The 20,270-nt window shown below is 49.1% G+C and overlaps 2 protein-coding genes, 3 non-coding genes and 1 pseudogene across 8 annotated transcripts in view, besides 13 other annotated features; 2 read left to right on the top strand and 4 right to left on the bottom strand.

The window, feature by feature from the left end:
* KCTD2 (potassium channel tetramerization domain containing 2) overlaps positions 1–20,270 on the bottom strand; it is a 33,316-nt gene that overhangs the window by 12,493 nt on the left and 553 nt on the right. The window contains exons 2-5 of one of the 3 annotated variants that reach the window (NR_110835.2): positions 19,277–19,361; positions 18,037–18,162; positions 4,066–4,174; positions 289–380 (exon numbers count right to left, since the gene is read on the bottom strand). Coding sequence is in view for 1 of the 3 variants with exons in the window: in NM_015353.3 (NP_056168.1) it covers positions 289–380; positions 4,066–4,174; positions 5,805–6,143 (540 nt within the window). In the remaining 2 variants the exon portion in view is untranslated. Of the gene's footprint in view, positions 1–288; positions 381–4,065; positions 4,175–5,804; positions 6,170–18,036; positions 18,163–19,276; positions 19,362–20,270 lie in introns of those variants that run through there. The other 2 variants (NR_110834.2, NM_015353.3) reach the window with 2 other exon arrangements.
* Positions 6,059–6,488: a silencer, noted in NCBI's record as "silent region_8953". NCBI's record gives its function as "represses an Ori minimal core promoter by ATAC-STARR-seq in GM12878 lymphoblastoid cells {active_cell/tissue: GM12878}" and the evidence as "EXISTENCE:reporter gene assay evidence [ECO:0000049][PMID:35858748]".
* Positions 6,059–6,958: a biological region, named in NCBI's record as "Sharpr-MPRA regulatory region 3986".
* Positions 6,186–6,480: an enhancer, noted in NCBI's record as "tiled region #3986; HepG2 Activating non-DNase unmatched - State 1:Tss, and K562 Activating DNase matched - State 1:Tss". NCBI's record gives its function as "activates a minimal TATA promoter and a strong SV40 promoter by Sharpr-MPRA in HepG2 and K562 cells {active_cell/tissue: HepG2 | K562}" and the evidence as "EXISTENCE:reporter gene assay evidence [ECO:0000049][PMID:27701403]".
* Positions 6,365–6,950: an enhancer, noted in NCBI's record as "H3K27ac hESC enhancer chr17:73042539-73043124 (GRCh37/hg19 assembly coordinates)". NCBI's record gives its function as "activates a minimal SCP1, AML or CMV promoter by ChIP-STARR-seq in primed H9 embryonic stem cells {active_cell/tissue: H9 hESC(primed)}" and the evidence as "EXISTENCE:reporter gene assay evidence [ECO:0000049][PMID:30033119]".
* ATP5PD (ATP synthase peripheral stalk subunit d) lies at positions 6,425–14,531 on the top strand. Of its 2 annotated transcripts, NM_006356.3 has the most exons (6): positions 6,425–6,469; positions 10,735–10,865; positions 11,117–11,213; positions 13,231–13,302; positions 14,123–14,185; positions 14,331–14,531. In NM_006356.3, exons 2-6 carry the CDS (start codon positions 10,744–10,746, stop codon positions 14,460–14,462), a joined length of 486 nt encoding a protein of 161 aa, NP_006347.1. In that variant the 5' UTR covers positions 6,425–6,469; positions 10,735–10,743; the 3' UTR covers positions 14,463–14,531. The 2 variants fall into 2 exon arrangements, with proteins under 2 accessions (NP_006347.1, NP_001003785.1); NM_001003785.2 differs by lacking the exon at positions 13,231–13,302.
* Positions 6,889–6,958: an enhancer, noted in NCBI's record as "active region_12731". NCBI's record gives its function as "activates an Ori minimal core promoter by ATAC-STARR-seq in GM12878 lymphoblastoid cells {active_cell/tissue: GM12878}" and the evidence as "EXISTENCE:reporter gene assay evidence [ECO:0000049][PMID:35858748]".
* Positions 11,443–11,631, bottom strand: RN7SL573P (RNA, 7SL, cytoplasmic 573, pseudogene; annotated as a pseudogene).
* Positions 11,557–12,127: an enhancer, noted in NCBI's record as "NANOG-H3K27ac-H3K4me1 hESC enhancer chr17:73037362-73037932 (GRCh37/hg19 assembly coordinates)". NCBI's record gives its function as "activates a minimal SCP1, AML or CMV promoter by ChIP-STARR-seq in naive H9 embryonic stem cells {active_cell/tissue: H9 hESC(naive)}" and the evidence as "EXISTENCE:reporter gene assay evidence [ECO:0000049][PMID:30033119]".
* Positions 17,458–17,617: a silencer, noted in NCBI's record as "fragment chr17:73031872-73032031 (GRCh37/hg19 assembly coordinates)". NCBI's record gives its function as "represses an EF-1alpha promoter that drives an FKBP-Casp9 reporter gene in an ReSE screen in both phorbol 12-myristate 13-acetate-treated (for megakaryocytic differentiation) and untreated K562 erythroleukemia cells {active_cell/tissue: K562 | K562(+PMA)}" and the evidence as "EXISTENCE:reporter gene assay evidence [ECO:0000049][PMID:32094911]".
* Positions 18,109–18,238: a silencer, noted in NCBI's record as "silent region_8952". NCBI's record gives its function as "represses an Ori minimal core promoter by ATAC-STARR-seq in GM12878 lymphoblastoid cells {active_cell/tissue: GM12878}" and the evidence as "EXISTENCE:reporter gene assay evidence [ECO:0000049][PMID:35858748]".
* On the bottom strand, positions 18,209–18,281 carry TRR-TCG3-1 (tRNA-Arg (anticodon TCG) 3-1). Its single transcript has one exon. It is a non-coding gene; the product is annotated as a tRNA-Arg (tRNA).
* Positions 18,609–18,678: an enhancer, noted in NCBI's record as "active region_12730". NCBI's record gives its function as "activates an Ori minimal core promoter by ATAC-STARR-seq in GM12878 lymphoblastoid cells {active_cell/tissue: GM12878}" and the evidence as "EXISTENCE:reporter gene assay evidence [ECO:0000049][PMID:35858748]".
* Positions 18,705–19,686: an enhancer, noted in NCBI's record as "OCT4-NANOG-H3K27ac-H3K4me1 hESC enhancer chr17:73029803-73030784 (GRCh37/hg19 assembly coordinates)". NCBI's record gives its function as "activates a minimal SCP1, AML or CMV promoter by ChIP-STARR-seq in naive H9 embryonic stem cells {active_cell/tissue: H9 hESC(naive)}" and the evidence as "EXISTENCE:reporter gene assay evidence [ECO:0000049][PMID:30033119]".
* Positions 18,799–18,968: a silencer, noted in NCBI's record as "silent region_8951". NCBI's record gives its function as "represses an Ori minimal core promoter by ATAC-STARR-seq in GM12878 lymphoblastoid cells {active_cell/tissue: GM12878}" and the evidence as "EXISTENCE:reporter gene assay evidence [ECO:0000049][PMID:35858748]".
* On the top strand, positions 18,891–18,963 carry TRR-CCT2-1 (tRNA-Arg (anticodon CCT) 2-1). Its single transcript has one exon. It is a non-coding gene; the product is annotated as a tRNA-Arg (tRNA).
* Positions 19,129–19,198: an enhancer, noted in NCBI's record as "active region_12729". NCBI's record gives its function as "activates an Ori minimal core promoter by ATAC-STARR-seq in GM12878 lymphoblastoid cells {active_cell/tissue: GM12878}" and the evidence as "EXISTENCE:reporter gene assay evidence [ECO:0000049][PMID:35858748]".
* Positions 19,229–19,308: an enhancer, noted in NCBI's record as "active region_12728". NCBI's record gives its function as "activates an Ori minimal core promoter by ATAC-STARR-seq in GM12878 lymphoblastoid cells {active_cell/tissue: GM12878}" and the evidence as "EXISTENCE:reporter gene assay evidence [ECO:0000049][PMID:35858748]".
* Positions 19,416–19,488, bottom strand: TRR-CCT1-1 (tRNA-Arg (anticodon CCT) 1-1). Its single transcript has one exon. It is a non-coding gene; the product is annotated as a tRNA-Arg (tRNA).

Raw genomic sequence — 20,270 nt, 5'->3', positions numbered from 1 at the left:
ACTCGGGCAGAGAACAGGTTTTAGACCTAAAGTGCCCTGGGCGCCTCCTCCCGCCATCTGGTAAGCAGCGACAATCTTCTCATTCTATTGGGACATAGGCCTATTCTGTTTTCTTTGTGGTTTCTTCTTTTCTCCTGTGCAGTTTGGCTGAGTGTGCATTCCCTGCACTGCAAACGGTGTTCCACACACACCTCCAGCTCTAAGGGTAAAGGCATCCTTTTCAAATCACAGACCGACCGACAGAAGCCCACTTGAAACAACCCTCCTTAACAGTTCCAAATACATTACTTGTGAAGTTCTGTTCTCATTGTCCCGTATCCTTTCCTTAACCAGCCGCACAAGGGACGCGATGTTGTAAAACTCCGCTTCCTCCAGCACACCTGGAACAAGGACAAAACTGCAGTCAGATAGGTGCGAGGGTTTGCCAGAAAAACACCAAGGAGAGGATGAAGGTTACATGCTTGCTAAAAACTGCTTATTTATTTATTTACTTATTTTTTGAGACGGAGTCTTACTCTGTCGCCCAGGCTGGAGTTCAGTGGTGCGATCTTGGCTCACGGCAACCTCCGCCTCCTGCGTTCAAATGATTCTCTTGCCTCAGTCTCCCAAGTAGCTGGGACTACAGGCACATACCACCACACCCGGCTGTTTCTATTTTTTCCCCCCGCCCGAAACAGAGTTTCATTCTTGTTGCCCAGGTTGGAGTGCAATGGCATGATCTTGGCTCACTGCAAACTCCGCCTGCTGGGTTCAAGAGATTCTGCTGCCTCAGCCTTCCAAGTAGCTGGGATTACAGGCGCTTGCCACCACGCCTGGCTAATTTTTTGTATTTTTAGTAGAGACAGGGTTTCATCATGTTGGTCAGGCTGGTCTTGAACTCCTGACCTCAGGTGATCCATCTGCCTTGGCCTCCCAAAGTTCTGGGATTACAGGCGTAAAGCCACCGCACCCAGCCAATTTTTGTATTTTTCGCAGAGACGGGGTTTTGCCATGTTGGCCAGGCTGGTCTCAAACTCCTAACCTCAAGTGATCCGCCCACCTTGGCCTTCCAAGTGTTGGGATTACAGGCATGAGCCACAGCTCCTGGCCTAAAAACTGCATTATTTAAATGCAAATCCAATCTCTCTCCTTCTGCTAGGAAATATCTCTTTGCTATTTTCGGTAAACCCATGACCTTTTCTCCAACATAAATTAGTCAAACGCCAGGGTATGTTCTGCTCACTCCATTTCAACCCTCCTTTCCCTACCTGGCACCTGCCCATTAGCTGCAGGACACTTTTCCCATATGTCACTTAGTTCCTGGAACTAGTCATGTTGGACACCTCCTGAACTTGATATTTTTGTCCAATCTGCCCTCAAAAGGACTGGGGGTGGGGGTGGAGGTGTGTGTACAAATTTATGTGGGCCAAACTTAATAGGATGCTAATCATTTGAACAATATAAAAGGCAACCATTTAAAGACTTGCATGCTAAATGAACTCAAAGGCCTTAGGGCAACTATGAGACGTGTGATCCTATAGGAATAAATTTGCTATAAAGGCCATTATTAGGACAACTGACAAAACTGCAATATAAGCTGTAGATAAAAGCATCAGTATTAAATTTCCTGAGTTTGATAACTGTACTGTCTGTGGTTACATAAAACAGTATCCTTGTTCTTGGGAAATATATACAAATATTAAGGGGTGAAATCTGCAATCTATTCTCAAATAGTTCAGAAATAACTGTGGTGGGAGAGGCAAGAGGATGGGGGTAGGGAGGGGGAAATAGAGAATGAAGGACAATGCAAATATGATTTAAAAAAAAAAAAGGTCGGGCATGGTGGCTCACGCCTGTAATCGCAGCATTTCGGGAGGCCAAGGCGGGTGGATCACGAGGTCAGGAGTTCAAGACCAGCCTGACCAACATGGTGAAACCCCCGTCTCTACCAAAAATAAAAAAATTAGCCAGGCGTGGTGGCATGCACCTGTAATCCCAGGTACTCAGGAGGCTGAGGCAGGAAAATCGCTTGAACCCGGGAGGTGGATGTCGCAGTGAGCTGTGATAGTGCCATTGCACTCCAGCCTGGGCAACAGAGGGAGACTCTGTCGCCAAAAAAAAAAAAAAAAAAAAAAAAGGTCGGGCGCGGTGGCTCATGTCTGTAATCCCAGTACTTTGGGAGGCTGAGGCAGGCAGATCACAAGGTCAGGAGATCGAGATGAGACCATCCTGGCTAATATGGTGAAACCCTGTCTCTACTAAAAATACAAAAAATTAACTGGGTGTGGTGGTGGGCGCCTATAGTCCCAGCTACTCGGGAGGCTGAGGCAGGAGAATGACGTGAACCTGGGAGGTGGAGCTTGCAGTGAGCCGAGATTGCGCCACTGCACTCCAGCCTGGGCAACAGAGCAAGACTCCGTCTCAAAAAAAAAAAAAAAGCTGGGCATGATGGCTCATGCCTATAATCGCAGCTACTCAGGAGGCTGAGGCAGGAGGAGCATGTGAGGCCAGACATTTGAGACCAGCCTGGGCAAGATAAGATAGACTCTGACTCTTAAAAAAACAACAAAAAGATCTCCCCATACCCCAAATATGACAAAAATAACATTGAAAATTGGTTAATCTGGGATATAGGGAGTTCTCTGTGTTATTCTTGCTCTTTTCTTGCTTATTTTGAAGTTTTAAATTACTTCAAAATAAAGTTTTTTTAATTAAAGGCATTAGAAAAGATACTTAACTAAAAGAGGGTAATTGAATTTTTGTATCACAAAGGATAAATGCTTGAGGGGATGGATACCCCATTCTCCATGATGTGCTTATTTCACACTGCATGCCTATATCCAAACATCTCAGGTCGGGCGCGGAGGCTCAGGCCTGTAATCCCAGCACTCTGGGAGGCTGAGGCAGGTGGATCACTTGAGGTTAGGAGTTCAAGACCAGCCTGGTCAACATGGTGAAACCCTGTCTCTACTAAAAATACAAAAAATTAGTCAAGCATGGTGGTGCACGCCTGTAATCCCAGCTACTTGGGAGGCTGAGGCAGGAGAATCGCTTGAACCCAGGAGGCTGAGGTTGCAGTGAGTCAAGATTGTGCCAGTGCACTCCAGCCTGAGCGAAGAAAAAAAAAAGAAAAATCTCATGTACCCCATAAATATATACACCTACTAGGTACTTACAAAAATTAAAAAAGAAAAATAAATAAGATTAAGATCACCCATGAGTTGGTAATTGTTGAAGCTGGATAGTGGATGCAAGGAATTCACTGTATGTACTATTCCCATTACTTCTGTATGCGTTTGAAATATTGTTTAAAAAGGGACATTTAAAAAAAGAGAGAGAGAGCAATTCCTCTTTCTACTAGCTGAAACAGAGTTGTTTCACAGTCACTTCATTAACTAGTACAGCCATTACAAGCTTTCTTACTCAGAGCCAAAGCTCCCAGATCAGGGTGCCCTGGATTTAGGGACAGTCCCCTTTACAACTGAATGCCTTCAGTGGGACCATGCCAAGCCTTGTAGAAAGTGGACTAGACCCACTTATAGTCCCAATGCCCTACAAACCACAAAGATGAGGCAAGTAATGATACACCTGACAATGAACTAGAGAATGAATTAGGTCAGCTGCAAACATTTACAGGGAAGCATGAGGCCAGAGTCTTAAAAGAAATGAGGCCAAGCCTTTATTATTTTTGTACAACTGTGAGTTCAAACCAAAATTAAAACTATAAATAATTGAATGTCAGAGATGTCTTGCTTCTTCAGACTACAGACACTCACTGCTAGCACACAAACAAATGTAAAAAAAGGATCGTGACAATTCTGGAGATTCGGAAAGAACTCCTGAAGTTATCTGCAAAGCGGAGCTACCTATCTTCCTTCTCACCCAGGAAGCTGAACAAAGCCTAAGGAGGCTTCCTTAATCATGACTCCCTCAGACAAGACTGGTAGTTTCTGCTCTGTTTCATAAACCTGAAACTATACCTGCACATGCGCCTGATGAAAATGTCAAACAAAATTGAAATCTGTAAAACAACTTTAAAGATTCTACTTGCATTTTGAAAATCCCCAATGCAAACAGTGCGCTTACCTTCTTCTGCCAACTCCTTAGTGATGATGAGTTTCCCGTGGCGGAGGTAGTTGAGGATAGGACCAAAGTAGGTGGGGTCCCTGTCAATCAGATAGGCTCCTGTCTCATCCTGCCAACCAAACACAAGGGTATCATTGTGGACCTTTGAGGAGTATTTTAAACAAAGGCAGGGCAGGATTTCACCATCTTTGTCAGCGCCCCAAGACAACAATTCATTCCATCAGCTAAAAAAGACTTTAGTGATGGCAAATTTTGTTACACATTTGTCACAAACTATTGGTAAGAAAGCTATAGCTTTATGTATCTTGTACATTAAGATCATCTTAGGTAGGGTGTTACAGACAGTCATACTCATTTAGGCGTTTACTTACTGGCTGGAATTTGCAATCTTTGCCTGGACAATAATTACAGTGACAAACATTCTTCTGTAGCGTGTTTGTTATTAAGAAAGGGAGAAAATGCCGTAGCTGTGTAACTGAAATCTTTGCTTGAGATGGACATTCTGACTTTTCCACTGCCTCTGAACTGCATTCCTAATTCCAAGAAAACCTCTGTGTAGTTGGCAATGCTCCTGAGCTCAAGGCCAACATCAGTGGGAGTTTGCACTGCCAGCTGTAATCTCACACACCCCAGCTCTGTGCCCAGAGGAAGCTCGGTACTGCCAGGACTTGGCTCTGAGCAGCTTTAATCCTACTCATCTTTACAGTAAAAGGAACAAGAAGAAACTGGCTTCTATTACCACAAGGAGGATATAGAGTAGATAAAAATAATTCCTTTATAAGCAAGGGTTTTGAAATCTCTTTAAAGTTAGGGCAGGATAGGTTTCCATCAATCTGAGATTTCTTAGAGAAGAGGAATAAACGAAAACAACAAATGTTTACGCAACTCCAGCTCTGTTTTGAGGTCACCAGCTGAGTGCTATATGGGATATAAGATGGTGTGAGTTATGGTCAGTGCCTTTAAGTTGAGAACTTAAAGGTGAATACGTAAAGTTAAAAAGAAATTGACACAGTTCAAACTGGAAATGGTTTAAGTGTCTTGTCACCTCTCAACCCTTTGGTTAGCAGCCATGCATCCTGCCCAAAATTTTCCCGGGAAAATTTTCATTTTCCTTCTGTCTTAGCCTAGATTTGCAGCGGCAAACAGTAACCTCTTTCCAAAAAACGCATTTGATCTAAATATGGACCTAAACCAGTGACTGTTAACAGATAAAAGTTCTGCGACCAGGACTATAGAAAAGCAGTGTGATATCACAAGGAGCGCTTCCTGCAGCTGTGGAAGCCCAACTTGGCAGAGGGGTCCGAGAGGGAGTCTGAGAAAGCTACAAGGATGCCTGAGCTAACCCTGACCCAGTTCTGGATGCATCTGGCACCGGCAGTGGGGGGACTGAAGAGGAGCCAGGGAAAACTCATGCAGATCTCAGTGGGATGTCAGGGGCAGAGAATATGGAGAAGGGGTGTGGAGTGCGTTCTCGTGGGTGCAGGTGGGCGCAGTGTGGGAAGGAGTCTCAGAGAACGAAGGGCGGGGTCGGGGAGAAAGCCAGAGTATGCCTCAGCATGGAAGAAGGGGAGTGGGAGGTCCCTCTGAGGCCCCTGCGAGTAGTGTGGGAGGGAGGGGGAGGATGGGGTCCCGGCCTGAGGGGGCTGCCTGTGAGGAGCGTGTCTCAGGACTCTGGGGACCGATCTACGAGAAACCAGGGGGTTCGAAGGCCCGGGGGCGCGCCCGAGGGCGGGGCACACCTTGTCTGAGTCCAGCTCCGGGTCCTCCTGGCAGCAGAGGCGGCAGAGAAATGACTTGGGCTCCCGGCCTAAGGTCTGTCTGGTGGTCACGAAGTAGGTGCCTCCCACGTTCAGCCTGACCCAGCGGGCCGCGCCGCCGCCCCCTGCCCGCTCGGGTGGTCCGGGACCCGGCTCCAGCGGCTGCGCGACGGCGGCAGCCGGGCGGCCGTGCCCGCGGGGCGTGGGGCCAGCCGGGCGTGGGCTGGGGGGCCCGCGGACTGGGCCACCCCCGTCGCCCACCCCACTCCCGCCGCCCCCTCCCAGCCCCGCCATCGCCGGGTCCAGCTGCAGTTCCGCCATCTTGGACCGCCGCCGCCACCGCTGCTGCCCGCGCGCAGCCGGGCCGGCCCATTTCTCGGCAGGGAGAGCCGGGCCGGCCCATCGGCGGGGGTGGGGCAGAGGGGAGAGGGACGGGAGCGCCCCCAACCAGCGCCCGGGGACCCGCGCGGGGGAGGCGCTGTGCCCGCCCCCGGGAAGATACTTCCGGAACCAGCCCTCATCTCTATTGGCTGATCTGCGAAGCAAGGCCCACCCCCTTGGCTTTGGGGTTGGCTGAGGAAAGATCTTCCCGTGACCCACTTCCGTTACTTGCTGCGGAGGACCGTGGGCAGCCAGGGTCGGTGAAGGTGAGTGGGGCTTGGGGCATTGGATCCGATCCCTGGAGGGCTCCTCTGCTCTGCCCTCTCCAAACCTCACGCCGACCCTTGTCACGCCCCCGTCAAGGACGCTGGGCCCTCGGCTTGCCCCGCTGGCAGAGTGTCCCTTGTGTAGCTGCCGCTCCTCGCCCCGCGATCCCTTCCTCAGCCCTCCTTGGCGCGCGGGGTCAGGGGGGCCCGGCTGTGTCCCAGGCGCCGCTGATGTAGGCGCTGCCACAAGCCGTGTCTCGTGCAGTCCGCTCCCAGCGCGGCAGACTTCAATAGTTTGGTGGGGGGACTGGGGAAACATTACGCAGACAGTGTTAACCTGCCGAGGGACGCTCAGCTGGCTGCGGGGCTGCGCCCTTCCCCTTCGGCAGCTTCCAGGATTCGAACGTATAGAGCGTTCAGGGCTCCTCGGGTGCAGAGTTCGGTTACTCATTCAAGAAAGATTCATTGAGCACCTCCTATGCGCATGATCTGTTCTAGGCGCTGGGGATTAAGCAATAGATTTTTAAGAATTAAAAAAAATTTCGCCGGGCGCGGTGGCTCACGCCTGTAATCCCAGAATTTTAGGAGGCCAAGGCGGGCGAATCGCGAGGTCAGGAGTTCGAGACCAGCCTGGCCAACGTAGTGAAACCCCGCCTCTACTAAAAATACAAAAAATTAGCTGGGCGTGGTGGAAGGCCCCTATAATCCCAGCTGCTCGGGAGGCTGAGGCAGGAGAATCGCTTGAACCCGGGAGGCGGAGGTTGCAGTGAGCCGAGACCACGCCACTACACTCCAGCCCAGGCGACAGTGCGAGACTCCGTCTCACTCACACACACACACAAAGTTATTTGTGACTTCCATTTTCCACTGATGTTGCGGGAAATCAGGGACCCCAAACAGAGAGACCGGCTGAAACCATGGCAGAAGAACGTGGATTGTGAAGATTTTATGGACATTTATTAGTTCCCCAAATTAATACTTTTGTAATTTCTTATGCCTGTCTTTACTGCAATCTCTAAACATAAATTGTAGAGATTTCATGGACACTTATCACTTCCCCAGTCAATACTCTTCTGATTTCCTATGCCTGTCTTGTCTTTAATCTCTTAATCCTGTCAGTTGAGGATGTATATCGTTCCAGGACCCTGTAATAATTGTGTTAACTACAAAAATTGTACAGCATGTGTGTTTGAGCAATATGAAATGTGGGCACCCTGAAAAAAGAACAGGATAACAGCAATTGTTCAGGGAACAAGAGAGAACCTTAAACTCTGACCGCCGGTGAGCCGGGCAGAACAGAGCCATATTTCTCTTCCTTCAAAAGCAAATGGGAGAAATATCGCTGAATTCTTTTTCTCAGCATGGGATATCCCTGAGAAAGAGAATGCGCACCTAGGGGTAGGTCTCTGAACTGGCCCCCCTGGGGCGTACCTGTCTCTTATGGTTGAGACTGCAGGGGTGAAATAAACTCCAGTCTCCCATAGCGATCCCAGGCTTATTAGGAAAAGGAAATTCCCACCTAATAAATTTTGGTCAGACCGGTTGATCTGAAAACCCTGTCTCCTGATAAGATGTTATCAATGACAATGGTGCCCAAAACTTCATTAGCAATTTTAATTTCGCTCTGGTCCTGTGGTCTTGTGATCTCACCCTGCCTCCACTTGCCTTGTGATATTCTATTACCCTGTTAAGTACTTGATGTCTGTCACCCACACCTATTCGTATACTCCCTCCCCTTTTGAAACTCCCTAATAAAAACTTGCTGGTTTTTGTGGCTTGTGGGGCATCACGGATCCTACCAACGTGTGATGTCTCCCCCGGACGCCCAGCTTTAAAATTTCTCTCTTTTGTACTCTGTCAAGCCAGTCGACGCTTAGGAAAATAGAAAAGAACCTATGTGACTATCGGGGCAAGTTCCCCGATACACTGATGTTTGGGAAAGTCTGTAAGGGTGCTTGGTTCCCTGGTAACTTTAAAATCACATGCCAATTGCCTTAACACCTCCCCTCCACAACAGGAAACAGGCTGTCCTGAGAAAGAAAGGAAGGACAGGACAGGTGTTTGACAACTTTCTTGAAGATCCTGAGAAAGACTGCTTCCGCCTCCCTTGCATTCCACTCCAAGCTTATAGAGATTTTTGACTTTGCAGTCTTTTAATATCTGACCCTGATCTTACTTAAAGAGGACTATTTTCCTATATTCTGACTTTTTTTTTAAGTGGCTGTAGTCGTTTTCTGTATTTTTCTCACATTTTCACATGTGTTGAATACCTCTTAAAATGCAGGCCGGGCGCGGTGGCTCATGCCTGTAATTCCAGCACTTTGCAAGGCTGAGGTGGGTGGATCACCTGAGGTCTGGAGTTTCAGCCCATCCTGGCCAACGTGGAGAAACCCTGTCTCTACTAAAAATACAAAAATTAGGGCCGGGCGCGGTGGCTCACGCCTATAATCCCAGCACTTTGGGAGGCCGAGGCGGGTGGATCATGAGGTCAGGAGATCGAGACCATCCTGGCTAACAAGGTGAAACCCCGTCTCTACTAAAAATACAAAAAATTAGCCGGGCGCGGTGGCGGGCGCCTGTAGTCCCAGCTACTCGGGAGGCTGAGGCAGGAGAATGGCGTGAACCCGGGAAGCGGAGTTTGCAGTGAGCCGAGATTGCGCCACTGCAGTCCGCAGTCCGGCCTGGGCGACAGAGCGAGACTCCGTCTCAAAAAAAAAAAAAAAAATACAAAAATTAGCTGGGTGTGGTGGTGGGTGCCTGTAATCCCAGCTACTCCGGAGGCTGAGGCAGGAGAATCGCTTGAGCCTGGGAGGTGGAGGTTGCAGTGAGCCAAGATGATGCCACTGCACTCCAGCCCGGGGGACAGAGTGAAACTCCATCTCAAAAAAAAAAAAAAAAAAAGTGCACAACGTGTGCTGGTGCTGCTAGGGTATAATCCGATGTGAATAAGAAGGTGCAGGTGTATTACCAATCTAGTTGGAAGGGGATAGCCCTTTTAAGTTTGTAAAACTCTGGAGCAAGTTGCTGTGCACAATTTCATGTGACACTTTTAGCAGCCCTCTGGGGCAAGCAGGACTGATAATGCCCATTGTACACATAAGTAAATTTTAGCCTAGAGAGTGCTCTATTTAAGGCTTGTTGAAACTTAGGTGTGTGTCAGTTTCTGTCTACTGGAGAATCAGTGAATAAAACACAATCTGGGTGGAAATGTCTTTATTAACTTTTATGCAATAAGAGTGTTATTTTTAGTAATTTTTCCAGAGGCACATGGAGGGGATAAAGAGAGCTGGGGTTTGTTTTTTTTTTTTTTTTTGAGACAGAGTCTCACTCTGTGTCCAGGCTGGAGTGCAATGGCGCTATCTCAGCTCACTGCAACCTCCGCCGCCCAGGTTCAAGTGATTGTCCTGTCTAAGCCTCTTGAGTACCTGGGACTACAGGTGCATGCCATCACGCCCGGCTAATTTTTGTATTTTTTAGTAGAGGCAGGGTTTCACCCTATTGCTCAGGCTGGTCTTGAACTCCTGACCTCAAGTGATCCACCCACCTCAGCCTCCCAAAGTGCTGGGATTACAGAAATGAGCCACTGCGCCCGGCCAAGAGAGCTGGGCTTTTAAGGCTAAATAGGAGTTGGGAGAGAATGTATTTGTATGCCACATTGCACACTTTGAATTTGAAAAGCTACACTGTCCTTTCCTTTTCTTTTTGAGACGGACTCTTGCTGTGTTGCCCAGGCTAGGGTGCACTGATGCCATCTCAGCTCATTACAACCTCTGCCTCCTGGGTTCAAGTGATTCTTATGCCTCAGCCTCTGGAGTAGCTGGGATTATGGCGCGGGCCACCACGGCTGGCTAATTATTGTATTTTTAATAGAGATGGGGTTTTGCCATGTTGGCCATGCTGGTCTCGAACTCCTGACCTCAGGTGATCCAACCGTCTTGGCCTCCCAAAGTGCTGGGATTACAGGCGTGAGCCCACTGCGCCTGGCCGCACACCTTGAATTACCTTGAATTTGAAAAGCTACACTGTCTTTTTTTCTTTTTTTTTGAGTTGGAGTCTTGCTGTGTCTCCCAGGCTGGAGTGCAGTGATGCAGTCTCGACTCACTGCAACCTCCACCTCCTGGGTTCAAGTGATTCTTGTGAAGACTTGCATGTTTCTAAGATTTAAAGGATTCTCTCTAAGAGCTCTTATTTTGTTATTTATCATTTTTCCCAACTGAAAATTCACCTCATAAAAAAGCCTTGTTTTTATTTGACTTATTTTTCAGGATCCCAAAATGGCTGGGCGAAAACTTGCTCTAAAAACCATTGACTGGGTAGCTTTTGCAGAGATCATACCCCAGAACCAAAAGGCCATTGCTAGTTCCCTGAAATCCTGGAATGAGACCCTCACCTCCAGGTCAGTATGTTTCTGAGAGGGAACCCCATACTTGCCACTGAATCTAGAAACAAAACAGTATTAAGGAATTACATATGAATTCTTGATGCCCTTATGACAACATATAAAGAAATCCTTGCATTTTCATGATGATCTTAGGAGAGGAAAGTGTGGTGACCCTCCAGGCCATAGGAAGAAGGGATAGGAAAATTACCATGTGAATTTTCTACTGCTTATGAACAATCCTAACTTTTGCCTTTCCTTGTGGGCAGGTTGGCTGCTTTACCTGAGAATCCACCAGCTATCGACTGGGCTTACTACAAGGCCAATGTGGCCAAGGCTGGCTTGGTGGATGACTTTGAGAAGAAGGTGAGACTTCACACCTCTAAAGCACTGAGCTTGTAACATGCCTGTGGGTAGGGAGCAGGAACAGGGATAATTACATACACAGCATGACAGCCAGATCCCTAAGGAAGCTTAGGAAGGATGCGTATGGCCAAAGGCCTTGTGGTCGATTGAACTGTAAATAGGTGCAGGAATTTAGGCTCTGTTCATTCAGCAGTAGAGTGTAGCCTTAATCTGGGAGCCAGAGGGCTTTCTGATCAGCACAGGAGTTTTGACCTGCTCTGTTTCTGACCTGGGCCGGTTCACCCCTTCTTAGGCAACCTGGTGGTCCCCCGCTCCTGGGAGGTCACCATATTGATGCTGAACTTGGTGAAGACACCCGATCGGCATAACGCGCTACAGCCCAGAACTCTTGGGCTCAAGCAATCCACGTGCCTCAGCCAGGCATGCGCCACCACGCCCCAGGGGGCTTTCAAGTTAAATGTTTGCCCACCTCCTGGGTTCCTTTTAGCTTCCTTCCTGTCTCCCTTTGGAACAAACTGACTTTTTTTCTACTCTTTTCCTGTCCTTTTTCTTTTGAGACGGAGTTTTGCTCTGTCACCCAGGGTGGAGTGCAGTGGCGCAATCTCAGCTTACTGCAGCCTCTGCCTCCCAAGCTCAAGCCATCCTTCTGTCTTAGCCTCCTGAGTAGCTGGGACTACAGGTGCATGCCACCACCACACCTGATAAATTTTCGTTTTGTTTTTTTTTTTTTTTTGGTAGAGACAGGTTTTTGTCATATTGCTCAGGCTGGTCTCAAACTCTGGGCTCAGGCAATCCACCTCTCTGCTCTTCTTTTTTTTTTTTTTTTGAGTTGGAGTCTCACTCTGTCACTCAGGTTGGAGTGCAGTGGCGCCATCTCAGCTCACTGCAACCTCTTTCTCCCGGGCTCAAGCCTTCCTCCCACCTCATCCCCCCGAGTAACTGGGACCACAGCACCACCATGCCTGGCTAATTTTTTGTATTTTTGGTAGAGACGGGGTTTCGCCATGTTGCCCAGACTGGTCTCGAACTCCTGAGCTCAGGTGATCCACCCTCCTTGGCCTCCCAAAGTGCTGGGAGTACAGGTGTGAGCCACCATGCCCAGCCTCTGCTTTTTTTAACTGTCCCTTATAGCTGTAATTTCTCATCCATCTATCCTCCTCTGATATTTACACAAGTCTCAATATCCAGAGTTCATTTGCTTATTCATTCAAAGATGTGTATGGAGGGCCTACTCTGTGCCAGGTAGTGTTAAGTGCTGGAGCCATAACACTAAGCAGTCTTTTTTTTTTTTTTTTGAGACGGAGTCTTGCTCTGTCGCCCAGGCTGGAGTGCAGTGGGGCCATCTCAGCTCACTGCAATCTCCGCCTCCCAGGTTCAAGCAGTTCTCTTGCCTCAGCCTCCCATGTAGCTGGGACTACAGGTGCTGGCCACCTTGCACAGCTAATTTTTGTATTTTTAGTAGAGACGGGGTTTCACCATGTTGGTCAGGCTGGTCTCGAACTCCCGACCTTAGGTGATCCGCCCGCCTCAGCCTCCCAAAGTGCTGGGATTACAGGCATGAGCCACCGCACCCGGCTAACACTAAGCAGTCTTCTAAGGAGACCATTCATTACGCAGTGCTCCTTCCACCAGTCAGCTCCCTAGGGTTCCATGCAGAAGAGAAATCAGAATTTCTTTACAATTCAAGGTGCTAAGAGGCCATTTTTTGGTCATCAAGTCCAGCTGTCCTTTTCAGATGAAGAAAATGAAGCTTATCATCATAAAGAATTGTCCAGGGTTCCGAGTTAGTGATAGGGCTGAGAAGACCCTTGAGCTCCTGTTCCCAGTCTAATATTCTTTCTACTCCAGTATTGAGATGCGTATTCGTTTCCGCTTGGGACACAGAATGTCTTTCAGTATGACCTTTAAGGATTCGTAGCTTCCAGCCCTTTGAGCTCCTGGGTGTATTGGCGACGACTCACTGTCCTTGTGTTTGTAGTTTAATGCGCTGAAGGTTCCCGTGCCCTTGTGTTTGTAGTTTAATGCGCTGAAGGTTCCCGTGCCAGAGGATAAATATACTGCCCAGGTGGATGCCGAAGAAAAAGAAGATGTAAGTAGTTGAGGCTCCTGCTTATTCTAAAATTCTCTTGATCTTGACAGCTCTCTATTATAGCTAAGTTAAGTTAGAGTGAATTAAATGGAAGAGTTAACAGCCATATAAAGGAATGACTTGTCAATAAATGCAACAACATGGACGAATTTCAAAATAATTATGCGGAGTGAAAGAAGCCAACAAGAAAAAGAAGAGTATAGCATATGATTCCATCTTTGTAAGACTCTAGAAAATGTAGTTTGTCTACAGTGGCTGCCTGGGGATGGTTGAGAGGGGACTGCTGGTTTCACAGGTGGATACCTATATCAAAACTTATCAAATGGTGTTCTTTAAATATGTGCATTTTATCATATTTCAGATATACCTCAACAAAGCTGTTAGAAACAAGGAGTTGGAATTAGAAAAATTACCCAAGTAGTATTCAAATACCTAATTATTTGCTTGAAAGCACTGAAGGCCAACTATGGAACTCAGTGGCTCCACCAGAGAGAAGTCTGGCTAGGTGCTCAGGTGGCGTGTCCTGACCATTCAGTGGCTGAGCCCTGTGAAAACAGGCATTCTGTAGGTCTTCGGATGAGGAACTTGCAGAAGCAGCCGGGTGCTGCCATCCTAAGCTGGTTTTCCATATGGGCTTCTCTGTGAGTGTTAAGAAAAGCTGTGGTTTGCCTGTCAGAGTGAGCGCCCCCACTCAGGGTAACCACAGTTTCTCCATAGAGCAATAGGACAGCAGGAGTGGGCTGGGACGACTCCTACCTTAGCAGCTGCTGGGGTAGAATGCAGCCTGGTTTCAGAACTGAATTTCTCTTTCTTCTTAAAGGTGAAATCTTGTGCTGAGTGGGTGTCTCTCTCAAAGGCCAGGATTGTAGAATATGAGAAAGAGGTAAGGATGATGGGTAGCCGTTGCCTATAATATGGGTTCTCTCTTTCATGACCACACATCTTTCACCTGGTGGCAGGAACCTGCCTTGGATATTCTGCTTTCCGTCTCTGTTTACATTAACTAAACACATTCCCCCTCTTTCCAGATGGAGAAGATGAAGAACTTAATTCCATTTGATCAGATGACCATTGAGGACTTGAATGAAGCTTTCCCAGAAACCAAATTAGACAAGAAAAAGTATCCCTATTGGCCTCACCAACCAATTGAGAATTTATAAAATTGAGTCCAGGAGGAAGCTCTGGCCCTTGTATTACACATTCTGGACATTAAAAATAATAATTATACAGTTCTGGGTGTGCTTCTTCTCTGTGGTTGAGATAATTAAGCCTCTCTTCTGAGCTGGCCTCACTGGCAGCGGGGTTTTTGTTTAAATGGAAAGGTGAGCCTCGACAGGTTTGTTGGGCTGGTTGTCTGACGGGCTGTGTAGGCGCCACTTACTGAGGCCCCAGGACTGCTGAAATGGCAACAAATAACACTAGGGGCTATGGCAGTGTATTTCACTGTGATGTAGTAAAGAATTGTTATCTGCTGATTCTCTTCAACTTCCTCTTTGGTTTCAAACCCCTGGTTCCAAGGGAGTGCTCCTGCTTGTCCATTAGTAAGTCACAAGAACAGCTGGTCCAAATGGCTAGGTGTAACAGCAGGGATTTACTTCTCTGTGCTTCAGCTTTTGAGCACAAAAGTGGTATTAGAAAAGGAAACTTTGGGCTGGGCATGGTGGCTCACGCCTGTAATCCCAGCATTTTGGGAGGCCCAGGCGGGTGGATCACCTGAGGTCAGGAGTTTGAGACCAGCCTGGCCAAGATGGTGAAACCCCATCTCTACTAAAAATGCAGAAATTAGCCAGGCGTGGTGGTGGGGCGGGGGGCGCCTGTAATCCCAGCTACTTGGGAGGCTGAGGCATCTTGGCCTCAGCTTGAGGCTTGATTGAACCTGGGAGGCAGAGGTTGCAGTGAGCCAAGATCGTGCCACTGCACTCCAGCCTGAGTGACAGAGCGAGACTTTGCCTCTAAAAAAAAAGGGAAACTTATGTTGCACAGTTAACTTACAGCTTTTTGCATTTGAACATGGAAAATTATTTTATTTTATTATTATTTTTTAAGATGGAGTCTCACTCTGTCGCCCAGGCTGGAGTGCAGTGGGACGATCTCGGCTCACTGCAACCTTTACCTCATGGGTTCATGCCATTCTCCTGCCTTAGCCTCCTGAGTAGCTCGGACTACAGGTGCCCGCCATCACGCCCGGCTAATTTGTTTTATTTTTAGTAGAGACGGGGTTTCACCATGTTAGCCAGGATGGTCTCGATCTCCTGACCTTGTGATCCGCCCGCCTCAGCCTCCCAAAGTGCTGGGATTACAGGCGTGGGCCACTGCATCCAGCCTGAACATGGAGAATTATTTTAACTTAATTTTTAAAATCCCCACTATTTACTATGGTTAGCAGACCTGAGCAACGTCAGGCAATAGAGATGGTTTAAAGCAAGGTAGTAGATCATAGAGTAATGCAAGTATTTAAAGAAAAAAGTATGGTGGTAGAAAGAATTGTCCTTAAAGTCAGAGGACCTGTTATGCCTACAACCCAATTGCTGATTTTAGATTGTTTACTGTCTTGAGAATTTAATTTTCTCATTTACAAATATCAGGATTGTAATGAGAATTAAATGAGATAACCTGGGAAGTTTCTAGGTAAGAAAGTAAGCAAAGGCTGACTTGATGTGGCTTAAATCCTGTAGGAAAAGTCTGCATGGTCTACGCAGGGGAGACTTGTGACATTTCTGCCATTTCTTTTTTTTTTTTTTTTTTTCTGATATGGAATCTTGCTTTGTCGCCCAGGCTGGAGTGCAGTGGCACGATTTCTGCTCATTGCAACCTTTGCCTCCCGGGTTCACACCATTCTCCTGCCTCAGCCTCCAGAGTAGCTGGGAGTACAGGCGCCCGCCACCACGCCCCGCTCATTTTTTGTATTTTTAGTAGAGACGGGGTTTCATCGTGTTAGGCAGGACGGTCTCGATCTCCTGACCTCGTGATCTGCCCGCCTTGGCCTCCCAAAGTGCTGGGGTTTCAGGCGTGAGCCACCGCACCTGGCCCATTTTTGCAGGCGGAGTATATTGGAGAAGAGCAACAATGCCTGACAACCCTCGAGAAATCAGCGTAGTCTTAACATAAGCAGAGGAGAGCCTGGGTGCATGGCTCCTGATTGGTAGGAGTAAGGCCGGGTTGAAGATGAAAGGCAGCGGAGGGGCGGAGTCTACTCCCCCCAAAACTGCTTGAGTCAACAAGAAGACTGGGCAGAGATGAGGAGCGGTAGCTGTGCAAGGCCTTTAATGTGCGTAACAGAAGTACCACACCCTTCCCCTGCGAGACTGCAGTCACTGAACTGGCACTCAGCCATCCCGCTGAGGATCTGAGGATGCAGACGACAGCCAAGTGAAAGCGCAGGGATGTGAGAAAAAATGCAGTTTACTTGGAGCATAGTTAGAGCTCGCGCTGTTCAAGGAGAGCACCGCTGAGCCCCGTGAAGGTGTTGGGATGTGAAGGGGGCAACCCCAGCATTAGGGGGAGCCCTTTGGGAGATTCCCTGTGCTAAATAACAGTGAACAAACAACTGGGAACAGGCTCAGCTAAAGGCACGTGGGTGGGAAGGGGGTACTTTTATTTTTTATGCCCTCTTGGATTGTTCAGCATTTTTGCGTTGTACATGCATTAATTTTACATTAAAAAGGTAATTGGGCAGGGCGCGGTGGCTCACGCCTGTAATCACAACACTTCGGGAGGCCGAGGTGAGCGGATCACTAGGTCAGGAAATTGAGACCATCCTGGCTAACACGGTGAAACCCCGTCTATACTAAAAATACAAAAAATTAGCCAGTGTGGTGGCGGGCGCCTGTAGCCCCAGCTTGTTTGTCTGCTGCAGACAAAACTCCATTCCCTGGCCGGGCCCAGTGGCTCACGCCTGTAATCTCAACACTTTGGGAGGATGAGGCAGGAGAATGGCGTGAACCCAGGAGGTGGAGCTTGAAGTGAGCCGAGATCACGCTACTGCACTCCACCCTGGGTGACAGAGCGAGACTCCGTCTCAGGGAAGAAGAAAAAGAAAAAAAAAATTAGCATTTATTCTCCCCTATGTCCAAGTACACTTGCACACACATGCATCCTGACACCCTCTTCCTCCAAGCACAGAGTAGTGGGGTGGTGGGTGCCGTGTGAGTGTGGACAGAGCCCACTAGCAGGACTGAGGCCACAGAGTTGGGCAGCACCCCCACTGCCCTTGAGGCTAGGGACTGGAGTTTTTTGTTTGTTTGTTTGTTTGTTTGTTTTGAGACGGCTTTCGCTCTGTTGCCCAGGCTGGAGTGCAGTGGCGCGATCACGGCTCACTGCAACCTCGGCCTCCTGGATTCAAGCGATTCTCCTGCTGCCTCCGCCTCCTGAGTAGCTGGGTTTACAGGCGCGTGCCACCACGATTGGCCGGCTAATTTTTGTATTTTTGTATTTTTAGTAGAGACGGGGTTTCACCATGTTGGTCAGGCGGGTCTCGAACTTTGACCTCGTGATCCGCCCGCCTCAGCCTCCCAAAGTGTTGGGATTACAGGCGTGAGCCATTGGGCCCGGCCAGAGACTGGAGTTTTGTCTGCTGTTTAACTTCATAACGATAGACTGAAACATAACCCGCTCCGTGTCATTTGCTTGTGGGATTGTAGCTTGTAGAGCACGTTTACGAGGCGAATGTTTGGATGTTGAACTCGTTCCAGGTACCAGCTCAAGAGAGACAACAAGAAATGGGGCCCTACTTACCCTGGCTGCATAATGACGCCATAACCGGAAGCGTCCCGGGATGCAAAGCCTGATTGGACAGAAGCAGCTCCCCAGCTTCGGATCCCGGGAGCCGCGGTGTGGAGGGATTGGGAGGCGTTTCTGGGTCTAAAACAAGGGAGGGAAGATTATAGTTGCAGGGATTAAAACGTTCCGACCACGAAGGGACTCGAACCCTCAATCTTCTGATCCGAAGTCAGACGCCTTATCCATTAGGCCACGCGGTCTCCGGCTGCAGCTACCTCCTAGAGAGGCCAATTTGATGGCCATTAAACGCTCCGGCGTGCCGCAGCTTCACTGCTCGCACCCTGGCCGCCTGTTGAGCGAAGCGCTCACCCTTCCTCTGGCCCCAGCCGCCCGCCTAGTCACCCCCGAGCGGAGCGGCACCTGGACTAGTCTCTGAGCCTCCCTGGGAATTGCGACCGCGTGGCCTAAGGGATGAGGCGTCTGACGTCAGATCATAAGATTGAGGGTTCCTTTGTGGTCGGGCTCTTTTGGAGCGAGCAGCCCTTGCCCGAATCCCAGCATAGTTTGAGGGTTTGTTCTTCCCTCCGCCCTCGTCCATCCCTATTCCTCCCAGCTATGCTCCACCGGCCTCTGCGCTCGCCGAGCACTTCTTCTCGGGGTTACAGGGCACCGCGGGCTCCTGGTCCCCGCGCGTCGTCACCGCATGGAGCTCTTGTGTAGCCCGGTGGGGACGCCGCGCCCAGCCAGCGGTTCATCCTGTCGTCCCCATGGCTTCTCAGGCTTGGAGCGCGGTGACCCACAGCAGGGCCGTGTTTGGGCACTATGGTTGAACACCTATCAAGGAGCACGTGGGTTTAGCGTCTTACCGCGCCCCAGTGGCCTAATGGATAAGGCACTGGCCTCCTAAGCCAGGGATTGTGGGTTCGAGTCCCACCTGGGGTGTCGAGAGGGGCTGTGCTCGCAAGGTTTCTTTTGGTGCCGGCAGCCAGAGACCTCAGAATCCACCACCACCTGCCCGCTACCTGCTTGCCTCTGCCCTGTTTGCGCCCCTCGCCTTCTCTTGCAGGACCCTCTGTTTGCAGTCGCGGTGGTCATTTACCTCTGGTTCTCCGGGGCTGCCCCGCCAGGTGGAGCTGGGGTGTCCTGGGAACCCTTTGGGCAACTTTATTCTTACGAGTTTCCCCAGCTTCGAAATTGTGGGGCCCTACCCGGACGAAAGCTGTTCATTCAAGGGCTTGGCAAGACCCGAGCTTACCGGCTTTAGGCGCTTGGAGGAGGTGGCTCCTCCTCAACACGTTGCACGGGAGTCGAACTAGAGACCAAGGTCGATTCCAGCATCCCTGAGAAGGGAAGAGAAAAGAAATAAAAAATTCCGTAAAAGGAACTTTCACCTCTACCCCAGGTGGGACTCGAACCCACAATCCCTGGCTTAGGAGGCCAGTGCCTTATCCATTAGGCCACTGGGGCTTGGGGCACGTGGCCGTGCCATCCCTTCCCCTCATAAGCGAGTGTCCCCTTTTCCTAGAGAAGGCCTGACAGAGGCGCGATCCATGGAGTGGGTCCGTCCCTGCCGCGCGCACTTTTGGTGAGCGGGCGGGAAGATACCGCGGTGCGCAGGGACCTGCCCCCATCCTTACTTAGCGAGCACCAGCCCCCAGCCCCCGGCACTGGGACGCCCCATGGAGCCCCGAGGGTCCGCTTGGTGGTTGCCTGGACACCCGGACCATGGGGTATGAAGACTGAGGTTTGGAGGAGTTTCCTTCCTACCGCCCTGAGCCTTGCTGTCCGCCTCTACAGAACTGATAAAAAATCCAGGAATTTTAGGAAAAAGTAGCGTAGGAAGTGAAGGAGAACAGACAAGTATTAATCATGAATATTGAAACATAAACACTGAAAATCTTGCTTATCATGAGGGAATGTACAACCAGGGGGAACAAGTTCTTCCAGTTGTAATAGTAGAAATATATATATACTAGATACTACAAGTATAGATAGAAAGGAAAATCAGCCAAGTAGATATTTCACCCTAATTCTAACAAAGAATAAGCACATTTTAAAATGTTACACACATTTAAAATCCATTATTAAAGGCTACAGACCGGGTGCGGTGGCTCACGCCTGTAATCCCAGCATCCCAGCACTTTGGGAGGGTGAGGTGGGGGGATTGCTTGAGCCCAGGAGTTCAAAACCAGCCTGGGCAACATAGCGAGATGCAGTCTCATTTGAAAAAAAGAAAAAAAAGAAAAAAA

Source organism: Homo sapiens, chromosome 17 (genome assembly GCF_000001405.40).
Source record: "Homo sapiens chromosome 17, GRCh38.p14 Primary Assembly".
Taxonomy (NCBI): Eukaryota; Metazoa; Chordata; class Mammalia; order Primates; family Hominidae; genus Homo; species Homo sapiens.
This window is presented reverse-complemented; position numbering and strand designations above follow the sequence as displayed.

Coding starts and splice junctions, on each gene's coding strand:
- ATP5PD (NM_006356.3), top strand. CDS start 10,744: ATGGCTGGGCGAAAACTTGCTCTAAAAACCATTGACTGGGTAGCTTTT. Junction 10,866..11,116: donor AATGAGACCCTCACCTCCAG/GTCAGTATGTTT, acceptor CCTTGTGGGCAG/GTTGGCTGCTTTACCTGAGA. Junction 14,186..14,330: donor TTGTAGAATATGAGAAAGAG/GTAAGGATGATG, acceptor CCCTCTTTCCAG/ATGGAGAAGATGAAGAACTT.